At 42.3% G+C, this 18,373-nt stretch overlaps 1 protein-coding gene across 4 annotated transcripts in view; it reads left to right on the top strand.

Moving 5' to 3' along the window:
* TYW1B (tRNA-yW synthesizing protein 1 homolog B) overlaps positions 1–18,373 on the top strand; it is a 253,688-nt gene that overhangs the window by 96,588 nt on the left and 138,727 nt on the right. For 2 of the 4 annotated variants that reach the window (NM_001145440.3, NM_001412182.1), the window contains 2 exons: positions 2,682–2,791; positions 17,815–17,992. In NM_001145440.3, coding sequence (NP_001138912.2) covers positions 2,682–2,791; positions 17,815–17,992 — 288 coding nt within the window. The remainder of the gene's footprint in view (positions 1–2,681; positions 2,792–17,814; positions 17,993–18,373) is intronic. The other 2 variants (NM_001412180.1, NM_001412179.1) reach the window with 1 other exon arrangement.

Raw genomic sequence — 18,373 nt, 5'->3', positions numbered from 1 at the left:
TCAGTCTGTGTATATCTTTACAGGTGAAGTGAGTTTCTTGTAGGCAACAAATAGTTGGGTGTTTTTTTTTAAATTCATTCAGCCAGTTTATATCTTTTAACAAGGGACTTTAATCCATTTACATTCAAGGTTATTCATGGTAGATGATAACTTACTCATGTTGTTTTGTATATTGTTTTTGCTTTCTTACTCTCTTGTTTTTTTTTTTTTTTTTTTTTTGCAGTTTGGTAGTCTTCCATAGTGGTAACATTTGAATACTTTTTTTAATCTCATTTGTATATCTGCCCTACCAGTGAGTTTATACTTTTGCATATTTTCATGATGGTAATAATCACTTCCTGATGTAGGATTCCTTAAGCTTTTCTGGTAAGGCCAGTCTAGTATGATGAATTCTCTCAATTTTTACTTGTCTGCGACAGGCTTTATTTCTCCTTCATTTCCAGAGGATAGTTTTGCTTGGTGGTCTTTTTTTTTTTTTTTTTTTTTTCCAGCCCTTAGAATATATCATCCCATTCTCTCCTGGCCTGTGAGGTTTCTGCTGAGAAATCTGCTGTTATTCTTATGGAGGTTTCCTTACATGTGACGTGATGCTTTTCAATTGCTGTTTTTAGAATTTGCTTTGTCATTGTCTTTTGACAGTTTGACTATAATGTGTCTCAAGGAGGCTTTTTTTTTTTTTTTTGGCATTTAATCCATTTTAGGAATTTTTAGCTTGCTTGATCTGAATGTCCATATCTCTCCCAAAATGTGGGAAGTTTTCAGCTTTTATTTCATTAAAACCTGTTTACTTTTCCATGTCTTTTCCCACCTGTTCTCCTTCTGGAATTCCTAAATGCAAACATTTGTTCATGTAATGGTGTCCCATCATTCCTGTAGGCTTTTTTTCCTACGCCTCCTGCTGCTGCTCCTCCTCCTGCTCTTCCTCCTCCTCTCTCCTCTATCCTTTCTTCCTTCTCCCTTCTCCCTTCTTCTTCTTTTCTTCTTTCTTTTTCTCCTCTTCTTCTCCTCTTCCTCCTCCTTCTTCTTTTCCTTTTCTTTTTCTTTTCTCCTTTTCTTCTTTTTCTTCCTTCCTTTTTTTTTTGGTCTGACTGGGTCATTTCAAAAGTCCTGTCTTCAAATTCAGACATTGTTTGTTCTCCTTGATCTAGTATGTTGTTGAAACTCTCAGTTGTATTTATTTCATTCATCGAATTCTTCACCTTCAAGTTTTCTGTTTGGCTCTTTTTTGTGATATCTATCTCTGTTGAATTTCTCATTTAGATCATGAATTCTTTTCCTGATTTCATTGAATTGTCTATGTGTATTCTCTTGTATCTCTCTTGAGTTTCCTTAAGATCATTATTTTAAATTCTGTTACAGGCCTTGATTTTCCTTTCTTTCAGGTCTGTTACTGGAGAACTAATCATGTTTCTTTGGGAGTGTCATGTTTTCTTGCTAGTTCATGTTTTTGTTTTTTACTACATTGGTATCTGCACATCTGGTATAACAGTCACCCTTTCCATTTTTATGGAGTAGTTTTCATAGGGAAAGACTTTCCTGGAGAAGTATTTTATAGTGTTGGTTGAATGGGGTGCTTTGACTTGTCCTCTAGACGGGTACAGTAGTGTAGTAGTATAGTAGTGTACATGTGATTTCTTTGGCCATAATCGGTGCCTGTGGTTCCTGTGAGTGCCTCACTGGCCTGGACTGTGGGTGTTTGTGGAGGCAGTGGCATGGCTTTGCTAGGGTCGGTGTTGCTGGGCTTGCTGGTTCTTAGACCCTAGGGGAGCTTGTGCTATTTCTGGTAGCTCTGCTGCTTATGGGGGTAGTGTCTTCAGTGGTGCTGGTTTCTGGGCAGAATGGTCCTTGGGCCTTGAGGGGCCTGTAGGGCACACGGTAGTTCTGCCTGTCGGGAGGGTGAGATGGTTGGCAGTGGTGGACACTGGGGAGCTGGTCCTTGGGCTCTGGCATTGTGTCTGTCTTGGGGGTGGTCTCCTTGCTGTACTGTGCTGCCTGTTTTTTTTGGACTACAAGGTTCTGCATGGGCTCAGGTGCTTGGATATGGTTGTACTGCTAGTTATAGCTTGGGTTATGGCATTGTAATCTTTTATATGGCCATGGAGTGATGGCAGTGGAACCTCAGGAATATGGAGATACAGGGGCTTTGGCTCCCAGGGCAGGATACACTCTAGCAGTGGTTTTGGTCTCAAAATGACATTGTGTTGTAGCTGCTTGGGTCCCAGGTGGAGGTTCTTGTCCTTTCCCCAGGCCTGCATCAGGAGAAACTCATTCTCAGGCCCTGTCAGTGTGATTTCCAAGCAAGTGTTCCAGCTGTCCTCACTCACTTTATGAAGTGTCGACGTAGATGACAGTAACATGATGGTGACAGTTTGCCTTGTTTGTGTACATTCATAGTTAACATGGTTAAAGCAGCAGAGAGTGTTCTGTCAACCTGTAACTGGAATTGAGTGAATTAGGTGCCCAACATCTCTGGGAAGAGTTGAATGATTTCTCTATTCACCCCTCTCTGTTGGGTGTCACGATTTAAAATAAGTTGGAAAATACCACTATACGTGGTTGAACTCTGAGGAGGAAACCAGTCCTGATTTTGTGATTTTTTAAAAATGGACGACTTCATCATAAATGACTAGCCCAGATCTTATTACAGAAGGGTCTTTTAGAACTTTGCGTCTTGTTCCTAGGCACCACAACAACCCTGTGGGCACTGAATGGTTGTGGAAGATGGACCAGCCTGAAATGATCTTGAAGGAAGCCATTGAAAACCATCAGAACATGATTAAGCAGTTTAAAGGTATTTATCTTCCCTCTACAGAGGAATGCTAATACTTGTTAATAGTCTGAATCAGATTGGCAGAAGAATTGCCTCTTTGGTAGGATTTTGTCCCCACTGGCAAATTTTCCTCTAAGGAAGTGAAAACTTCGTAGGAATATTATATATATTTTGCCTTTTTAGCTTTTACTTCCCATATGATGGAAGAACTAAAAATTTAAAATGTAGCAACTTGGCCAGGTGTGATGGCTCACGCCTGTCTAATCCCAGCACTTTGGGAGGCCGAGGCGGGCGGATCACCTGAGGTCAGGAGTTCGAGATGAGCCTGGCTAACATGGTGAAACCCCGTCTCTACTAAATATGCAAAAATTAACTGGGCATGATGGTGGTTGCCTGTAATCCCAGCTACTTGGGAGGCTGAGGCAGGAGAATTGCTTGAACCTGGGAGGCAGAGGTTGCAGTGAGCCGAGATCTCTCCACTCCACTCCAACCTGGGCAAAAAGAGCGAAACTCCATCTCAGAAATAAATAAATAAATAAAAAGTTTAGCAACTTATAATATGCTGCATTCAACTTGAAAGATTTACCTGGGAATGTACCATCAATCTTCCTAGAAACCTTTGCTATTGTTCTGTCTCGTTGAGCTGAGCAGCCTTTTGAATGGATTGGAAATTTTAGGTTAGTGGAAAGTCTTAAATAATGTTAGTTAGTGATGGAAAAACGGTTTTGAATGAATTCCTTATTTAAAAAAAAGGAGGGATAATATAAATAACAGTTTCTTCCATCTAATGCACAGTAATGTGGTAAAAATTCAGCCACTCCATTTTTTTGAATTTCCTGATTTAATTCTGTCTCATATTAACAAATATTGACTTCACTGGAGGTTACGGGTTCTCAAACTTTATCATGCATCGGAATCATCTGGAGAGCTTGTTAAAACACAGATTGTTGGTTTCCTTTCCCAGAGATTGGGTCAGTAAGCGCAAGAGTATGCTTTTTTGTCTTTCTTCTTTTTTTTTTTTTTTTTTTTTTGGACCGGATCTCACTCTGTCACCCAGGCTGGAGTATGTGGTGCTATCTTGGCTCACTGCAACCTTCACTTCCCAGGCTCAGATGATCCTCCCACCTCAGCCTTACCTCCTGAGTAGCTGGGGCTACAGGCGCTGGCCACCACGCCTGGCTAATTTTTTGTGAAGATGGGGTCTAGCCATGTTGCCCAGGCTGGTCTCAAACTCTTAGACTCAAGCCATCCGCCTGCTTTGGCCTCCCAAAGTGCTGGGATTACAGGTGTGAGCCACCTGAGAATGTGCATTTCTAACAGGTTTCTGGTTGGTGTTGATGTTATTCAACTGGGGACCACGCTTTGAGAACCACTACTGTACATGTGATGGCTTCATAAAGCAACAGCTGTAGGTGATGAATTGGAATTTGTTAGGTTCCCTGTTGAATCTGTATGCTCTGGTCTCTACCTACCACTGGTGACTCCTTCTCTCCTGTATTCTTCTTTTCCGTCATATGCAACCATTAAAAAATAGTCCCAGCCAAGACTGTTTTAATATAGACACTCTTAAGGTATTAATAGCACATATGGGAGTCTTTAGAAACCTCAGTAATTAGCATTCTGAAGATCAGGTGATTCTTTCACGTAAGGAAATTTGTTCTGTTCTGGCCACTCATTCGTAATATTATAATACTCCTTACCACTTGATATGGTTAGGCTTTGTCCCCCTCACCCAAATCTCATCTTGAATTGTAATCTCCGTAATCCCCATAATCCCTATGCGTCGAGAGAGACCGGTGGAGGTAATTGAAACGTGGGGGCCATTTCCCCCATGGTGTTCTCGTGATAGTGAGTGAGTTCTCACGAGATCTGATGGTTTTATGAGGGGCTCTTCCCCCTTTGCTCTGCACTTCTCCTTCCTGCTGCCTTGTGAAGGAGGTGCCTTGCTTCCCCTTTGCCTTCCGCTGTGATAGTAAATTTCCTGTGGCCTCCCCAGCCATGCTGAACTGCGAGTCAATCAAACCTCTTTTCCTTTATAAATTACCCCGTCTCCGGCAGTTCTTTATAGCAGTATGAAAATGGGCTCATACTTATTTCTCATTCTTATGAGAAATGGAGAAAAGTCATGCAAATAATGGTTCAAGATCAGTAGTAATTTATAAAAGATAATTATTCAGTAGGCTCGGCACGGTGCCTCACGCTTGTAATCCCAGGACTTTGAGAGGCTGAGGTAGGCGGGTCACCTGAGGTCAGGAGTTTGAGACCAGCCTGGCCAACATGGTGAAACCCCATCTCTACTAAAAATACAAAAATTAGCCAGGCATGGTGGTGTGGGCCTTTTAATCCCAGCTACTCGGGGGGCTGAGGCAGGAGAATCGCTTGAACCCGGGAGGCAGAGGTTGCAGTGAGCTGAGTTCACATGCCACTGGACTCCAGCCTGGGTGACAAAGTGAGACTCCATCTCAAAAAAAACAAAAAAAATTAGTCAATAATTATACTTTTATTCTTTATGAATTTTCTAGGGAAAGTTGACCTGTACATATTTGTGTATATCTGTAGGTAGGCTGACTTTTTTTTGTACATTTACAAAGATGCTAATGATTATTTTAATTTCTCATCTTGATTTTTAGTTTCAAGCATTTTTCGATGGTGGGAGGTAGGGGTACAAATTACATTCTTATACTTGGATAAAGCAGTGTCTCTTACCAGTGTTTTGGAAAATTAAATGAAACTGTTGGTAAAGAACTAGTAAGCTCCACATCTGGAATTTGACTGGCTTTTCCTAGACTCATTGTTGGTTTAGTTAATAATTGATTGTTGATCTTCAAGTAAGCTATGTGTCTTTTTAATTTCAAGGCAAAGTCGTATTTTCCTTTGGAGAGTGTGTTAGGCTTCTCCAGAAAAACAGAACCAATGGGTGTGTGTGTATGTACGTGTATGTGTATGTGTGTGCGTGTGTGAGGGGAGAGAGAGAGACAGAGAGACTGAGATTGAGATTCATTTGTTCATTTTTAGGAGTTGGCTAATGTATTTGTGGAGGCTTGGTGAGTTCAACATCTCTTGAGTTGACTGGCAGGTTGGAGACTCAGGGAAGAGTGGGAGTTCAAGTTCAAAGGCATTCTCCTGGCAGAATTCCTTCTTGCTTGGAACAGGTCAATCTTTTTATATTAAAGCCTTCAGATGATTGGATGAGGCCCATCCACATTATGACGGGCAATCTACTTTACTGAAAGCCCAGCAATTTAAATGTTAATCTCATCCAAAACACCTCCACAGAAACATCCAGAATAATGGCTGAACAAATATCTGGACGCCGTGACCCAGACAGGTTGACACATAAAATTAACCATCACAGATAGTAATATCAGAAGCAGGAAATGCCAGTACTTTTATTTTTATGTGAAGTTGATTTTTGAGTTAGTGCTTAAGGAGCTAATGGGACGATGACTGAGGATGTGTGTTTCCTGGACATCCTGGAGTCTCCCTGAATGAACTGTGTCTCGGGCAGTTTGTGTGAGGAGGAATCAGCTCTGCCCTGAAGAATAGACACCTTCATTTCTTTCTGCTGGGATGTCCTTCCTACAGAATGACGATCTGAGTTTGGATAGTAATTTTTCTGACAGGAGCGTTTTTGCAAATGCACTTTAAATGGAAATATGTAATGAATAAACCATGAGGTAGACTTTGTTGATGTTAATAAAATGTGTTAGGTGAGTTCCGTGAGCACGTGTTTTTCATTGTCTGCTGGGCCTGTTGAGGGTCTTGTCCTGTGCAGAAAGGGGTGTCCAGTAGTGACCTTAGGCTTAAACGTTAATCAGCAGGCATCTCAAATGGTTTGTCTATGGGTTCTTACGATGTGAGGAAAACAAAAGAGTTTTAAAATTTAGATTCTCTTGAGGGATGATAGGATGCAGGATAGCAGAGAGAAAGAATAGAGCACGTCTATGGATGCATGAATCCTGAGTAGGCATTAGAATGCATAAGACGGAAGGAATGATCCCCAGAAATTCAACAACTGCCACCAATTTCATTCTTAAAAATGGTATTTATACAATATCTATTTTACCCTGGTAATTCCTACAATGGATTTTTTTTTCATATCTGAATGGATTGACTTGATAACATGTTACCATGTCAGGAAAACATCAGTGTATTTAATCAGCAGCAAATTTGCTGGAAGGGTTTTCAGAGTGGAACTGGTTGATATTTGTGCATTGATGCTCTTCAGGTTAGCAAAGCAGTTTTTCTTGAAGCTAGTAGAAAACAGGTGCATGTTTGAAGGTGTGGAGGGTGTAGACGGGTCAGCACGTAGGCATAAGAGAGCCTCATTTGTTTTATTTTTATTTTATTTTACTTTATTTATTTACTTGGAGACAGGGTCTCACTCTGTTGCCCAGGCTGGAGTGCAGTGGCACGATCTTGGCTCACTGCAACCTCTGCCTCCTGGGCTCAAGTGATCCTCCCACCTCAGCCTTCCAAGTAGCCGGAACTACAGATGCATGCTACCGCGCTTCAGCTAATTTAAAAATTTTTAATAGAGATGGGTTCTCCCTATATTGCCCAGGCTGGTCTTGAACTCCTGGGCTCAAATGATCCTTCTGCCTGGGCCTCTCAAAGTACTGGGATTACAGGCATGAGCCACTGTGCCTGGCTCTCATTTGTTTTACATTTTCACAATGAATGAGAGATCCCTTAATTTGTAATTTTGGAGCCCTGGTGACTATTTGTTTAATGCTTTTTTCTGTGTTCTAAGTTAGGTTAAACAAGCCATTATTTTTGAAAATCCATCTTATTGCTATAATAGTCATAGTAAATCTTGCTGTAAAATTATGATAATAGAAAAGAAAAAAAAACCCTAATTAGTAAAGGGTAAAGTGCATAATTTGTAAGAATCCAGAGCCCTTCTAGAAAACTGGTGGTAGTCTGTAACACTTCAAAGAAAAAAATGTTATGTGATTTCTTTTAAAATGATAACTTTGACAGCATTATAGAATTTTAGTACTTCAGAATATTGATTATATTTTCTGTTCTCTTGGCAGCAAGTAATTTCAACTGAAAAAGACCATAAAGGGATAGGGTCTTGTTCTGTTGCCCAGGCTGGAATGCAATGGCATGATCATAGCTCACTGCAGCCTCAACCTCCTGGGCTCAAGCAGTCCTCCTGTCTCAGCCTTTCAAATATCTGGGATTACAGGCACATGCTACCAAACTCAGCTAATATTTTAAAAAACATTTTTGTAGATATGGGGGGTCTCACTACGTTGCCCAGTCTGATCTCGAACTCCTGGGCTCAAGCAATCCTTCAGCCTCAGTCTCCCAAAGTGTTGGGATTATAGGTGTGAACCACTGCACCTGGCCTTAATTTTCATTTTAATAATATTGTATCTATGGGAATACAAATTTCAGGCTTAAACAGAAATGCTTACGAACAGATTTCTTGTATAAATGGCAATTATAGTCAATTTCAAAGGCTTGAAGGCATTTCCTTCGTAGTTTGTGATATTCCTGGTATCTCCACTTTGGCCTCTTTTTGGAGGTCCACTCTTAGCTCATTAATTATTATTATTTTTTAAATCCTTTTATTACTCTTTTTTTAACAAATAACCCCAGGGACAGGGGACCAGGGGAAAGGGAAGGAGGGGAAGTGAGGCCCCAGCCCCACAACCCCTCCCTCGCCACCCCTTTCCCCCTTATATATTTATAATCTATATACAAGCCCTGGGGGTAGGGGGCAAGAGGAACTCCCTCAGTGGGGTGGGGGCAAACCAGGCTCCTTGTCCCCTTGGGACCCAGGCTCCTCTGCCTTTTGGGAGGGCCCTTTTCGAGGTGGCGGCCGTGTCCATTCCCAAGGCTTAGGTATCCAGTGCAGGGCATCTGGTGGGGAGGCCTGCTGGTAAAGGTCGAAGCGCTGGGTGTGGAAGACTCCACTGCAGGTGGAAGGTGTGGCCTTGAGACAGGAATGCTCATTAATTATTTACCTCACTCTGGCTTGGAGAGTCCTTTGCTTTCTAGTGTGAGTTCCCACCCCATGACAAAGAACGCCTGCCGTCTGTCCTGGGTCTGGTTCAGTTGTGTGAAAGGTGGAACTGGCTGTGGGGATTGTTGCTTATTGTCTGAGTTCCCCAACTGGAGCTAAGTGGCCAGTCCTGAGCAGCTTTGGAAGATAATTCCTGATGTTTTCAATGCTTGTCTTTTGTGTTCTTAATTCTGAGGGCAATCATTGTCTTTTCAGTTATTTCACTGAGTTATAAAAATATCTTTCTTTTCCTGACCTTTATTAGCGTTCCTTTTATATACATACAAAATTAACTTTGCATTGATTAAAAGTGGGTCAGAATTTCAGTGCCACTCAGTGTCTATTCAAAATGCTGCCTGCCCCCTTCTAAGTACTACCATGGCAGGGAGAAATAGTTCCCAGAAAATGGGGCTGAGGTTTCTTTAGCTCAGTTTTCCACTCGTTCAGCAAACATCAAGTGATTGCACTGTCTTTGTCAGGAACGTCCTCAGTACTAAAGCTGCAAAGATGAAAAAGACCTCATTTATTGCTAGGTGTTTTTATCTATACTTTAGGCTAGAAGCAAAGTACTGCAAGAAATAAAAGATCTCCAACAGATGGTTTTCACAAGCTAGGTATGCTAACATACACATCATAAAGAAAATGTGAAGGTGGGGAAGAGAACACCACCTGTTAATTGTTTTCAGAAACTAATTTATGAAAAACCTCAAGTGGAGTATCTGTATCAAACAGGTATTATTTATGACTTTTAGTCAGGACAGGTTGTTGGGAAGATTTTTGGCCCGGAACTGCATTGTTATGAGAAGAAAGAAGAGAATGTTTTATTTCTGATCGGCCCAAACTTTAGAAATAGGAATATACTGAGCATTACATCATGTTTATTTGTGTGTTATTTGGTTTATCGCTATGACATTAGAATGAAAATTTTAGGATCTTAAGTTCTGGCTTTGTCATCTTTCAATGAGATGAAGTCCGCTTGTTAGTTACTCTGCTGACTGTAATTGTGATTATCCAAGATCAGAAAGATGTTCAGAATAAGAAAAATGTCAGAAAACTTGCTTAACCAAAAAACCCAAAGAACTAGAATAACAAAGCAGAGTTTAGTTGTGAAAGGGTTAAGATTTGGGCACCATGAAGAGAACAGATCGTGTGTGTGCATGTGCGTGTATGTGTGCCTGTGTGTGTGTGCGTGTGTGTGTGTGCATGTGTGTGTGTGTGTGAGTGTGAGATAATGGGAAACAGCACTATCGATTTGCTGTTGAAATGTCCTGTGTCTCATGTGGACTCTTTCTTTCTTCTCCAGGAATCCTTTCCATTAGAAATTTAGAGGCTATTACCAGAGAAATGCAAATCAAAACCACAATAAGATACCATCTCACACCAGTTGGAATGGTGATCATTAAAAAGTCAGGAAACAACAGGTGCTGGAGAGGATGTGGAGAAATAGGAACACTTTTACACCGTTGATGGGACTGTAAACTAGTTCAACCATTGTGGAAGACAGTGTAGTGATTCCTCAAGGATCTAGAACTAGAAATACCATTTGACCCAGCCATCCCATTACTGGGTGTATACCCAAAGGATTATAAATCATGCTGTTATAAAGACACATGTACACGTATGTTTGTTGCAGCACTATTCACAATAGCAAAGACTTGGCCAACCCAAATGTCCATCAATGATAGACTGGATTAAGAAAATGTGGCACATATACACCATGGAATACTATGCAGCCACAAAAAAGGATGAATTCATGTTTTTTTAAGGGACATGGATGAAGCTGGAAACCATCATTCTGAGCAAACTATCGCAAGGACAGAAAACCAAACACCGCATGTTCTCACTCATAGGTGGGAATTGAACAATGAGAACACTTAGACATAGGAAGGGGAACATCACACATCGGGGCCTGTCATGGGTTGGGGGGAGGGGGGAGGGATAGCATTAGGAGATACACCTAATGTAAATGACGAGTTAACGGGTGCAGCACGCCAACATGGCACATGTTTACATATGTAACAAACCTGCACATTGCTCACATGTACCCTAGAACTTAAGGTATAATAATAATAATAAAGAAATTTAGAGGCTGTTTCAATTTCTGTCATATTTCCTTGAGGCCAGTGCAAGAAGACATGAAGTGGAGTCCTTGAGGCTTTGTTTTTGGGAGGACCAGTGTAACAGCCTCTGGCAGAGAGCAAGAAATAGAAACATGCTCTTAGGAAGGAGAGAACCAAGGTTTTACATAAGCTTCTCAATATCTTACTTGTGAAAGAATCAGGATAACTTTAAAATCTAAGAATCCATTACTTTAAAAAGTTGATCATCAAGAATTTTTTTTGTCTTGTATTTTGTTTGTTTTTGTGATTGTCTAAATGGGGGAATATGATTATGATATTTTTATTTGTAGCTTTCTGGAAAGGATGGCTTTGGTGTCTTTGCTTCTAGGTTTCCTCCTGTCCTCCCTGGCTGCTCTGTGGTAGTACCCTTTGTTGATCCCTCTTCCTCTCCCCAGAACTGTGAGTGTTGTAGGACTCAGTCCGTGGTCCTCCTCCCTGTCCTGTTAGCTCCAATGCTTGCTTTGTCTGAGTTGATGGCAGCCATGTTGCTGGAGCCAAACACTTTGTAGAAATCATTGAGCCCTCTCACTCTCTCATACCCTACATCCAATCCATTTGAAAATCCCTCTTGATGATACCTTGAAAGTAGAGCCAGCTGATTGACTTTGCCACCTCCACTATCGTGCCACCTCCAGTGTCACCACCTTGGTCCAAGCCACCATTTCCTTTTTGTATTATATTATAGTCTGTCGGCAGATTATCCTCTCTCCTTGCCCCTCTGTTCTCAACGGAGAACCCGATGTGATCTACTTAAAACAAAAATTAGTTTATGCCACCCTCTTCTCAAAATCCTGCATTGGCTACCCATGTGACTCAGGTTCCCTAGACATAATCAGGCAGGCTCCCACCTTGGGGTCTTTCCTCCGACTGGAATGCTCTTCCGTCTTTGCCCTCTTGGCCTACTCCCTCACCTCCTCCAGCTACACTCCCCTTTTCAGCAAGACTTATCCTGACCAGCCTGATTGACAGGTCAGCCTGCCTCTTTTTCCTCTTGGCACCCCACATCTTCATTGCCCTGCTCTTTCTTTTCTTCTCCACGTGCCTATCACCTTCTTTTTTTTTTTTTTTTTTTTTTGGAGACGGAATCTCACCCTGCTGCCAAGGCTGGAGTGCAGTGGTGAGATCTCGGTTCACTGCAACCTCCGCCTCCTGGGTTCAAGCAATTCTCCTGGCTCAGCCTCCCGAATAGCTAGGATTACAGGCACCTGCCACCATGCCCGGCTAATGTTTTTATATTTTTGGTAGAGATGGGGTTTCACCATGTTGGTCAGGCTGGTCTCGAACCCCTAACCTCATGATCCACCCGCCTCAGCCTCCCAAAGTGCTGAGATTACAGGCGTGAGCCACCACGCCCGGCCCAAAACTTCGTCTTTACCAAAAATTTAAAAAAAATTAGCCAAGTGTGGTGGCATATGCTTGTGGTCCTAGCACCTGAGGAGGCAGAGGCGGGAGGGTCACCTGAGCCCAGGAGATTGAGGCTGCAGTCAGCTTGATCACATCACTGCACTCCAGCCTGGGTGACAGAGGCAGACCTTGTCTAAAAAAAAAAAAATAATAATAATTGAATTTATTTTTCAGTTCACAAAATAAAAATATTTGCAGCTAGCATGTTTTGCATGTGTATGTGCTGGGCCTGGCACCCCATTAAGTATTTCATGTAGCTTATTTCATTTAATTGTTATAATAGCTGTATGTGTGTGTGTAAAATCTCCATTTTAAAGATCAGGGAATGGGCTTGGAGAGGGTGGGAGAGGCTTGACCAAGGATATAAAACTACCTTCGCGGTGGAGCTAGAGTGTGAACCCGGTGCATCTGAATCCCAGAGGCCAGGGCCTAGCCGATGCTCCTTCCACTTTCTGAGTTTTAGGTTGGTTTTGGAGTTCAGGTTCAACCTGCCTTTCTACTCAGCTGCTCATGGTGGGGATTATAGTTAATGATATGCTTTTTGAAAAGCAAATGTTATGCTTAATGCTGAGTTGTCTTGGCAACATAGAATGAGCTTAAGGATCAAATTTTATTTAAAAACCTTGTTTTACTTGAGTTAAGATCTTAGATTTCAATAACCTAAAAAATTATTCATCCATCCAAAAATACTGACACGAAATACATTCTTACAATTGCAGTTACATAGTCATAAAAGAAGACATCACCTGTCATGCTTAGATTGTTCTCATTTTGGTCTGTACTCTGTTGCTTTGATCTCTTGGGGATTTACTTGCACTTTGTGTTTCATTTTATTTATTATTTTGTATTGGGGTACATGTGCATGTTATTTACATCGGTGTATTGTGTACTGCAGGAATTAGGCTTCTTGCATACCCATTACTCAAATAGTGAACATTGTACCTGATAGGCAATTTTTCAACTGTCGCCCCGTCCCATCCTCTTTTGGAGTCTCTAGTCTCTATTATTTCCATCTTTAGGTCCGTGTGTACCCATTGGTTAGTTCCCACTTAAAAGTGAGAACGTGTGATATTTGATGTTCTGTTTTTTAGTTCACCTAGGATGATGGCCTCCAGCTTCATCCATGTTCCTGTAAAGGACATGATTTTGTTCGTTTTTATGGCTGCATAGTATTCCATGGTGTATATGTACCATATTTTCTTTATCCAGTCAACCATTGATGGACACTTAGGTCATGGTTTCATGACTTTTAGCTATTGTGAATAGTGCTGCGATGAACATACGAGTGGGTACAGGTTTTTTTTAATATAATGATTTCTTTTCCTTTGGTTAGATACCCAGTAATGGGATTGCTAGGTTGGATGGTAGTTCTATTTTTAGTTCTTTGAGAAATCTCTCTATAGAGGTTGAACTAATTTACATCCCCACCAATAGTGTGTAATCCACGCCAATTCTGTTGTTTTGCTCTAATAATAGCCATTCTGACTAGTATGAGATGATATCCCATTGTAAGTTTAATTTGCATTTCTCTGCAAATGATTATTAGTAATGCTGAGTGTTTTTTTCACGTAACTTACACTTTCGTATTTCTAAGGTGTAGGAGGAAGAGAGAGAGAGAATTAGAGTGTGTGTGTGTGTGTGTGTGTGTGTGTGTGTGTCAAGCACAGCTGACACCAATACCTTAACTTAAACATACCCGGAGAATGACTGTATGTTCTAAGAAGAATGTGTGTTCTGAGCTCTGAACTAGGAGATCCAGGAGTGGCCAACCCGGGGATTCATTCTCTTTGTTTTTTTCTGTGAAGGCTTTATTTTGGACAGATCATTCTCTATCTATGAGGAACATCTGAATCCCTAGCGCTTCCTGTGGAATGCAGGTTGTACAGGGGATCAAGGCCTGTTGTTTTGGGTTAAATAAAGTGGTGCCTGGTGGAGATTGCTGGTGGGGGAGGTACTAAGTGAAAATGCTGTATAAACTGCATGATTTTTTTTTTTTTTTTTCCAGACAGGGTCTTGCCCTGTTGCCCAGGCTAGAGGGCAGTGGCGCAGTCTCAGCTCACTGCAACCTCCACCTCCAGGGTTCAAGTGATTCTTCTGCCTCAGCCTCCTGAGTAGCTGGGCCTACGAGCATGCACCACCACGCCTGGCTAATTTTTGTATTTTTAGTAGAGATGAGGTTTTGCCATGTTGGCCGAGCTGGTCTTGAACTCCTGACTTCAACTGATGCACCCATCTCGGCATCACTAAGTGCTGGGATTACAGGCATGAGCTGCCGTGCCCAGCCAAACTGCATGCTTTTTACAAGCAACTGTGGTTCTCCTGCCCAGCCCACTGCCACTGGACTGCCCTGTTTGTGAGTTTGTGAGTCCCTTCAATGAACCCTATGTCTTGGCTGGGCATGGTGGCTCACGCCTGTAATCCCAGCACTTTGGGAGGCTGAGGCGGGCCAACATAGTGAAACCCCATCTCTACTAAAAATACAAAAAAAAAAAAAAAATTAGCCAGACGTGGTGGTGTGTGCCTGTAGTCCCAGATACTGAGGAGGCTGAGGCAGGAGAATTGCTTGAACCCGGGAGGCGGAGGTTGCAGTGAGCTGAGATCATGCCATTGCACTCCTGCCTGGGCAACAGGGCGAGACTCTGTCTCAAAAACAACAACAACAACAACAACAGCCACAGCCCCTATGTCTCGTTCACTGGCTCTGCATCTCTTTGCCAGCCCCTCACACATGGTGCTATCCCTACTGAAGTCAATCAGGGTCTGGCGGAACAGTGTGTCTAAAATAAAATCACTTTCTGAAAACTGAGGCACAACTGAGCAGTGAAATTTAACTTTATTTCGCCCACGTTCTTTGTTACTGTTGTTAAGGTGACAGTGACTGGGATCGAATCAGTTTCATAAACTAGGATAAAGGTGGTAATAGCAAATTGTTAATGAACGTTTCTTGTGTGCCAGACACTCCGCTAAGGCCTTTACATGCATTATCTCATTTAATCCCAACAAAAATTCTTCAAGGTACTTACCATTCACAGCTAAGAAAGTTATGTTTCAAAGATGGCCAATAATGGCTGGGCATGGTGGCTCACGCCTGTAATCCCAGCACTTTGGGAGGCCGAGGCGGGCAGATCACGAGGTCAGGAGATCGAGACCATCCTGGCCAACATGGTGAAACCCCATCTCTACTAAAAATACAAAAAATTAGCCGGGCATGGTGGTGGGCACCAGCCCGGTGTAGTCCCAGCTACTCGGGAGGCTGAGGCAGGAGAATGGCTTGAACCGAGGAGGTGGAGCTTGCAGTGAGCTGAGATTGTGCCACTGCAATCCAGCCTGGGTGATGGAGCGCAACTCCATCTCAAAAACAAACAAACAAACAAACAAAACAAAGATGTCCAATAGGAGTCGGAGAAGACACATGAACACGCTTCTCCCCTAGGCCCAAGCTCCATGAGGAACCCCTATCCTGCAGAGAGAATATGTTCTTCAAAAGGAACCTAGAAATCATTGATTTAGAACTATCAGGAGTCAAGGTGATATATATTTTTTCTTTGTTTTTTTTTTTAACTCTTAAGTTCAGGGGTACAAGTGCAGGTTTGTTACATAGGTAAACTTGTGTCATGGGGGTTTGTTGTACAGATTATTTCATCACCCAGGTATTAAGCCCAGTACCCATTAGTTGTTTTTCCTGATCCTCTCCCTTCTCCCACCCTCCACCCTCTGATAGGCCCCAGTGTGTGTCATTCCCCTCTATGTGTTCATGTGTTCTTAGGATACATAATTTTGCCTATTTACACTCTTTCCGAGTCTTTCACATTCTCTGTTAGACTGAAGGACTTTTAGGACAGCATATCTCTTAATGCCTTCTACATTGAGTCAAGAGCAGTACCTGACAAACCAAGCTGCATGCTGGAATCACACGGAGAGCCCTTTAGAAATCCTGATGCACGAGGCCCCTCCCCAGAGACCGTGATTTAATATGTTTGGGATATGGCCTGGACATTGGGATTCTTAAATGTTTTTTGGGTAATCCCAGTGTCCAGCTAGGATTCAGAACGAGTGGTGTGTGCTAGTGGCTACTAAACTTGTCTACACATTGGAATCACCTGGGGGGCTTCAGAAACTGCGAATTGCCTGCACCCCTCCGCCAGAGATTGGCGTTTAGTTGATCTGAGCTGTGGCCTGGATTGTGGGAATTTTAAGATTCCAAGGTGATTCCAATGTGCAGACAGGTTGGGCCCCTCTGGTTTCATGCAGTGGCTTTTAGCCTTGGCTATACATAACAACCATCTGAGAAGCTTTAACAAAACTTATTGCCCAGCCTTGCACCCACTCTGATGAAACAGACTCTTTAGAGGTGGACCTAGGTGGCAGTATTTTTGGTTTTTTTTGGAGACGGAGTCTCACTCTGTTGCCCAGGCTGGAGTGCGGTGACACCGTCTCCTCTCACTGCAATCTGTGCCTCCTGGGTTCAAGCGATTCTCCTGCCTCAGCCTCCCGAGTAGCTGGGATTACTGGCATCCGCCACTACGCCCAGCTAATTTTGGCATTTTTAGTAGAGACAGGGTTTCACCATGTTGCCAGGCTGGTGTTGAACTCCTGACCTCAAGTGATCTGCCCACCTTGGCCTCCCAAAGTGCTGGGATTACAGGTGTGAGCCACTGCGCCCAGCCTATTTTTGTTTTTTGAGACAGGCCTTGCTCTGTCATCCAGGCTGGAGTGCAGTGGCATGATAGTGGTTCACTGCAGCCTCAATCTCCCAGACTCAAGTGATCTTCCCACCTCAGCTTCCCAAGTAGTTGGGACCACAGACATGTGCCACCATGCCCAGCTATTTTTTTTTTTTTAATTTTTAGTAGAGGCAAGGTCTCACTATATTGCCCAGGCTAGTTTTGAACTCCTTGGCTGAAGCAATCCTCCTGCCTTGGCCTCCCAAAGTGCTGGGAATACAGGTGTGAGCTACTGCGCCTGGCCTGTAGAAGTATTTTTTGAAGCTCCTCAGGTGATTCCAGTATGAAGTATGAATTATGAAGTATTCCAGTATGAAGCCAAAGATAAGAACGATTAGGTCTCTTCTTTTTCTCTCCTGTACAGCTTTGGACCAACTACATTTACTTTCCCAGTTCAGGATACTTGAGGAATGATTGGTCTAGAAGAAGCTTGTTCTTATGCAGATATACTGAGTTCATTTTCTTAGATCAACATGAAAGAATGCAAAGCTAAGCAAATTATGCAAAGGGACTTATTCTGCATTCCAAATAATTAGCTAACAAAGCTAGTTTTGCCTGCTTGTATTGATGTAGTTTAACTGGTACCAAAACTAAGAATGAGGTTACTGACTGATTTTTCTGATTTAATAATTCTAGTCCTGCCCTGCCCTTTAGCCTTTGTTTTGTATTCTTTGGTATCAAAAATGAATTTGCTCTATAAAATCAAAGCATCATTAAGAAAAACGTGACATCCTCTATCTGTGCCTTATGTAGCTGGGTCCTTCTCACTGTATTCTCCAGGAGTACCGGGCGTCAAAGCAGAACGCTTTGAAGAAGGAATGACGGTAAAGCACTGTGCATTGTCCCTCGTGGGAGAACCAATAATGTACCCAGAGATCAACAGGTTTTTGAAGCTACTCCACCAGTGTAAAATCTCCAGCTTCCTGGTCACAAATGCACAATTTCCTGCGGAAATCAGGTGAGTTCTCCAGCCTATGGAGAGATGCTGCTTGAATCTATGTTTCACTGCAAAGTAAAACTAATAGGCATTAATGCAATCAAATAGGATTTATTGATTACTTACTACATACAAATGTTGGGCTTTGGGAGGTGAAGATGGTCCTGCTCTTCAAAATCTGTTCTATTAGGCACAACAACATTAGTAAAAAGACTAGAGGCACAGATATGTCGCTAGGGGAATTGAAAAGAGAATGAATTTTTTTTTTCCAAATGGGAGAGGCAGGGTAAAACTTACCAGAGAAGCTGTCATTTGATTTTTTTTTTTTTTTTTTTTTTTTTGAGTTGGAGTCTCACTCTGTCTCCCCGGCTTGAGTGCAGTGGCGTGATCATGGCTCACTGC

Source organism: Homo sapiens, chromosome 7, assembly GCF_000001405.40.
Source record: "Homo sapiens chromosome 7, GRCh38.p14 Primary Assembly".
Lineage (NCBI taxonomy): Eukaryota > Metazoa > Chordata > Mammalia > Primates > Hominidae > Homo > Homo sapiens.
The sequence above is the reverse complement of the archived record's forward strand: the minus strand, read 5'-3'. Positions and strand labels throughout refer to the sequence as shown.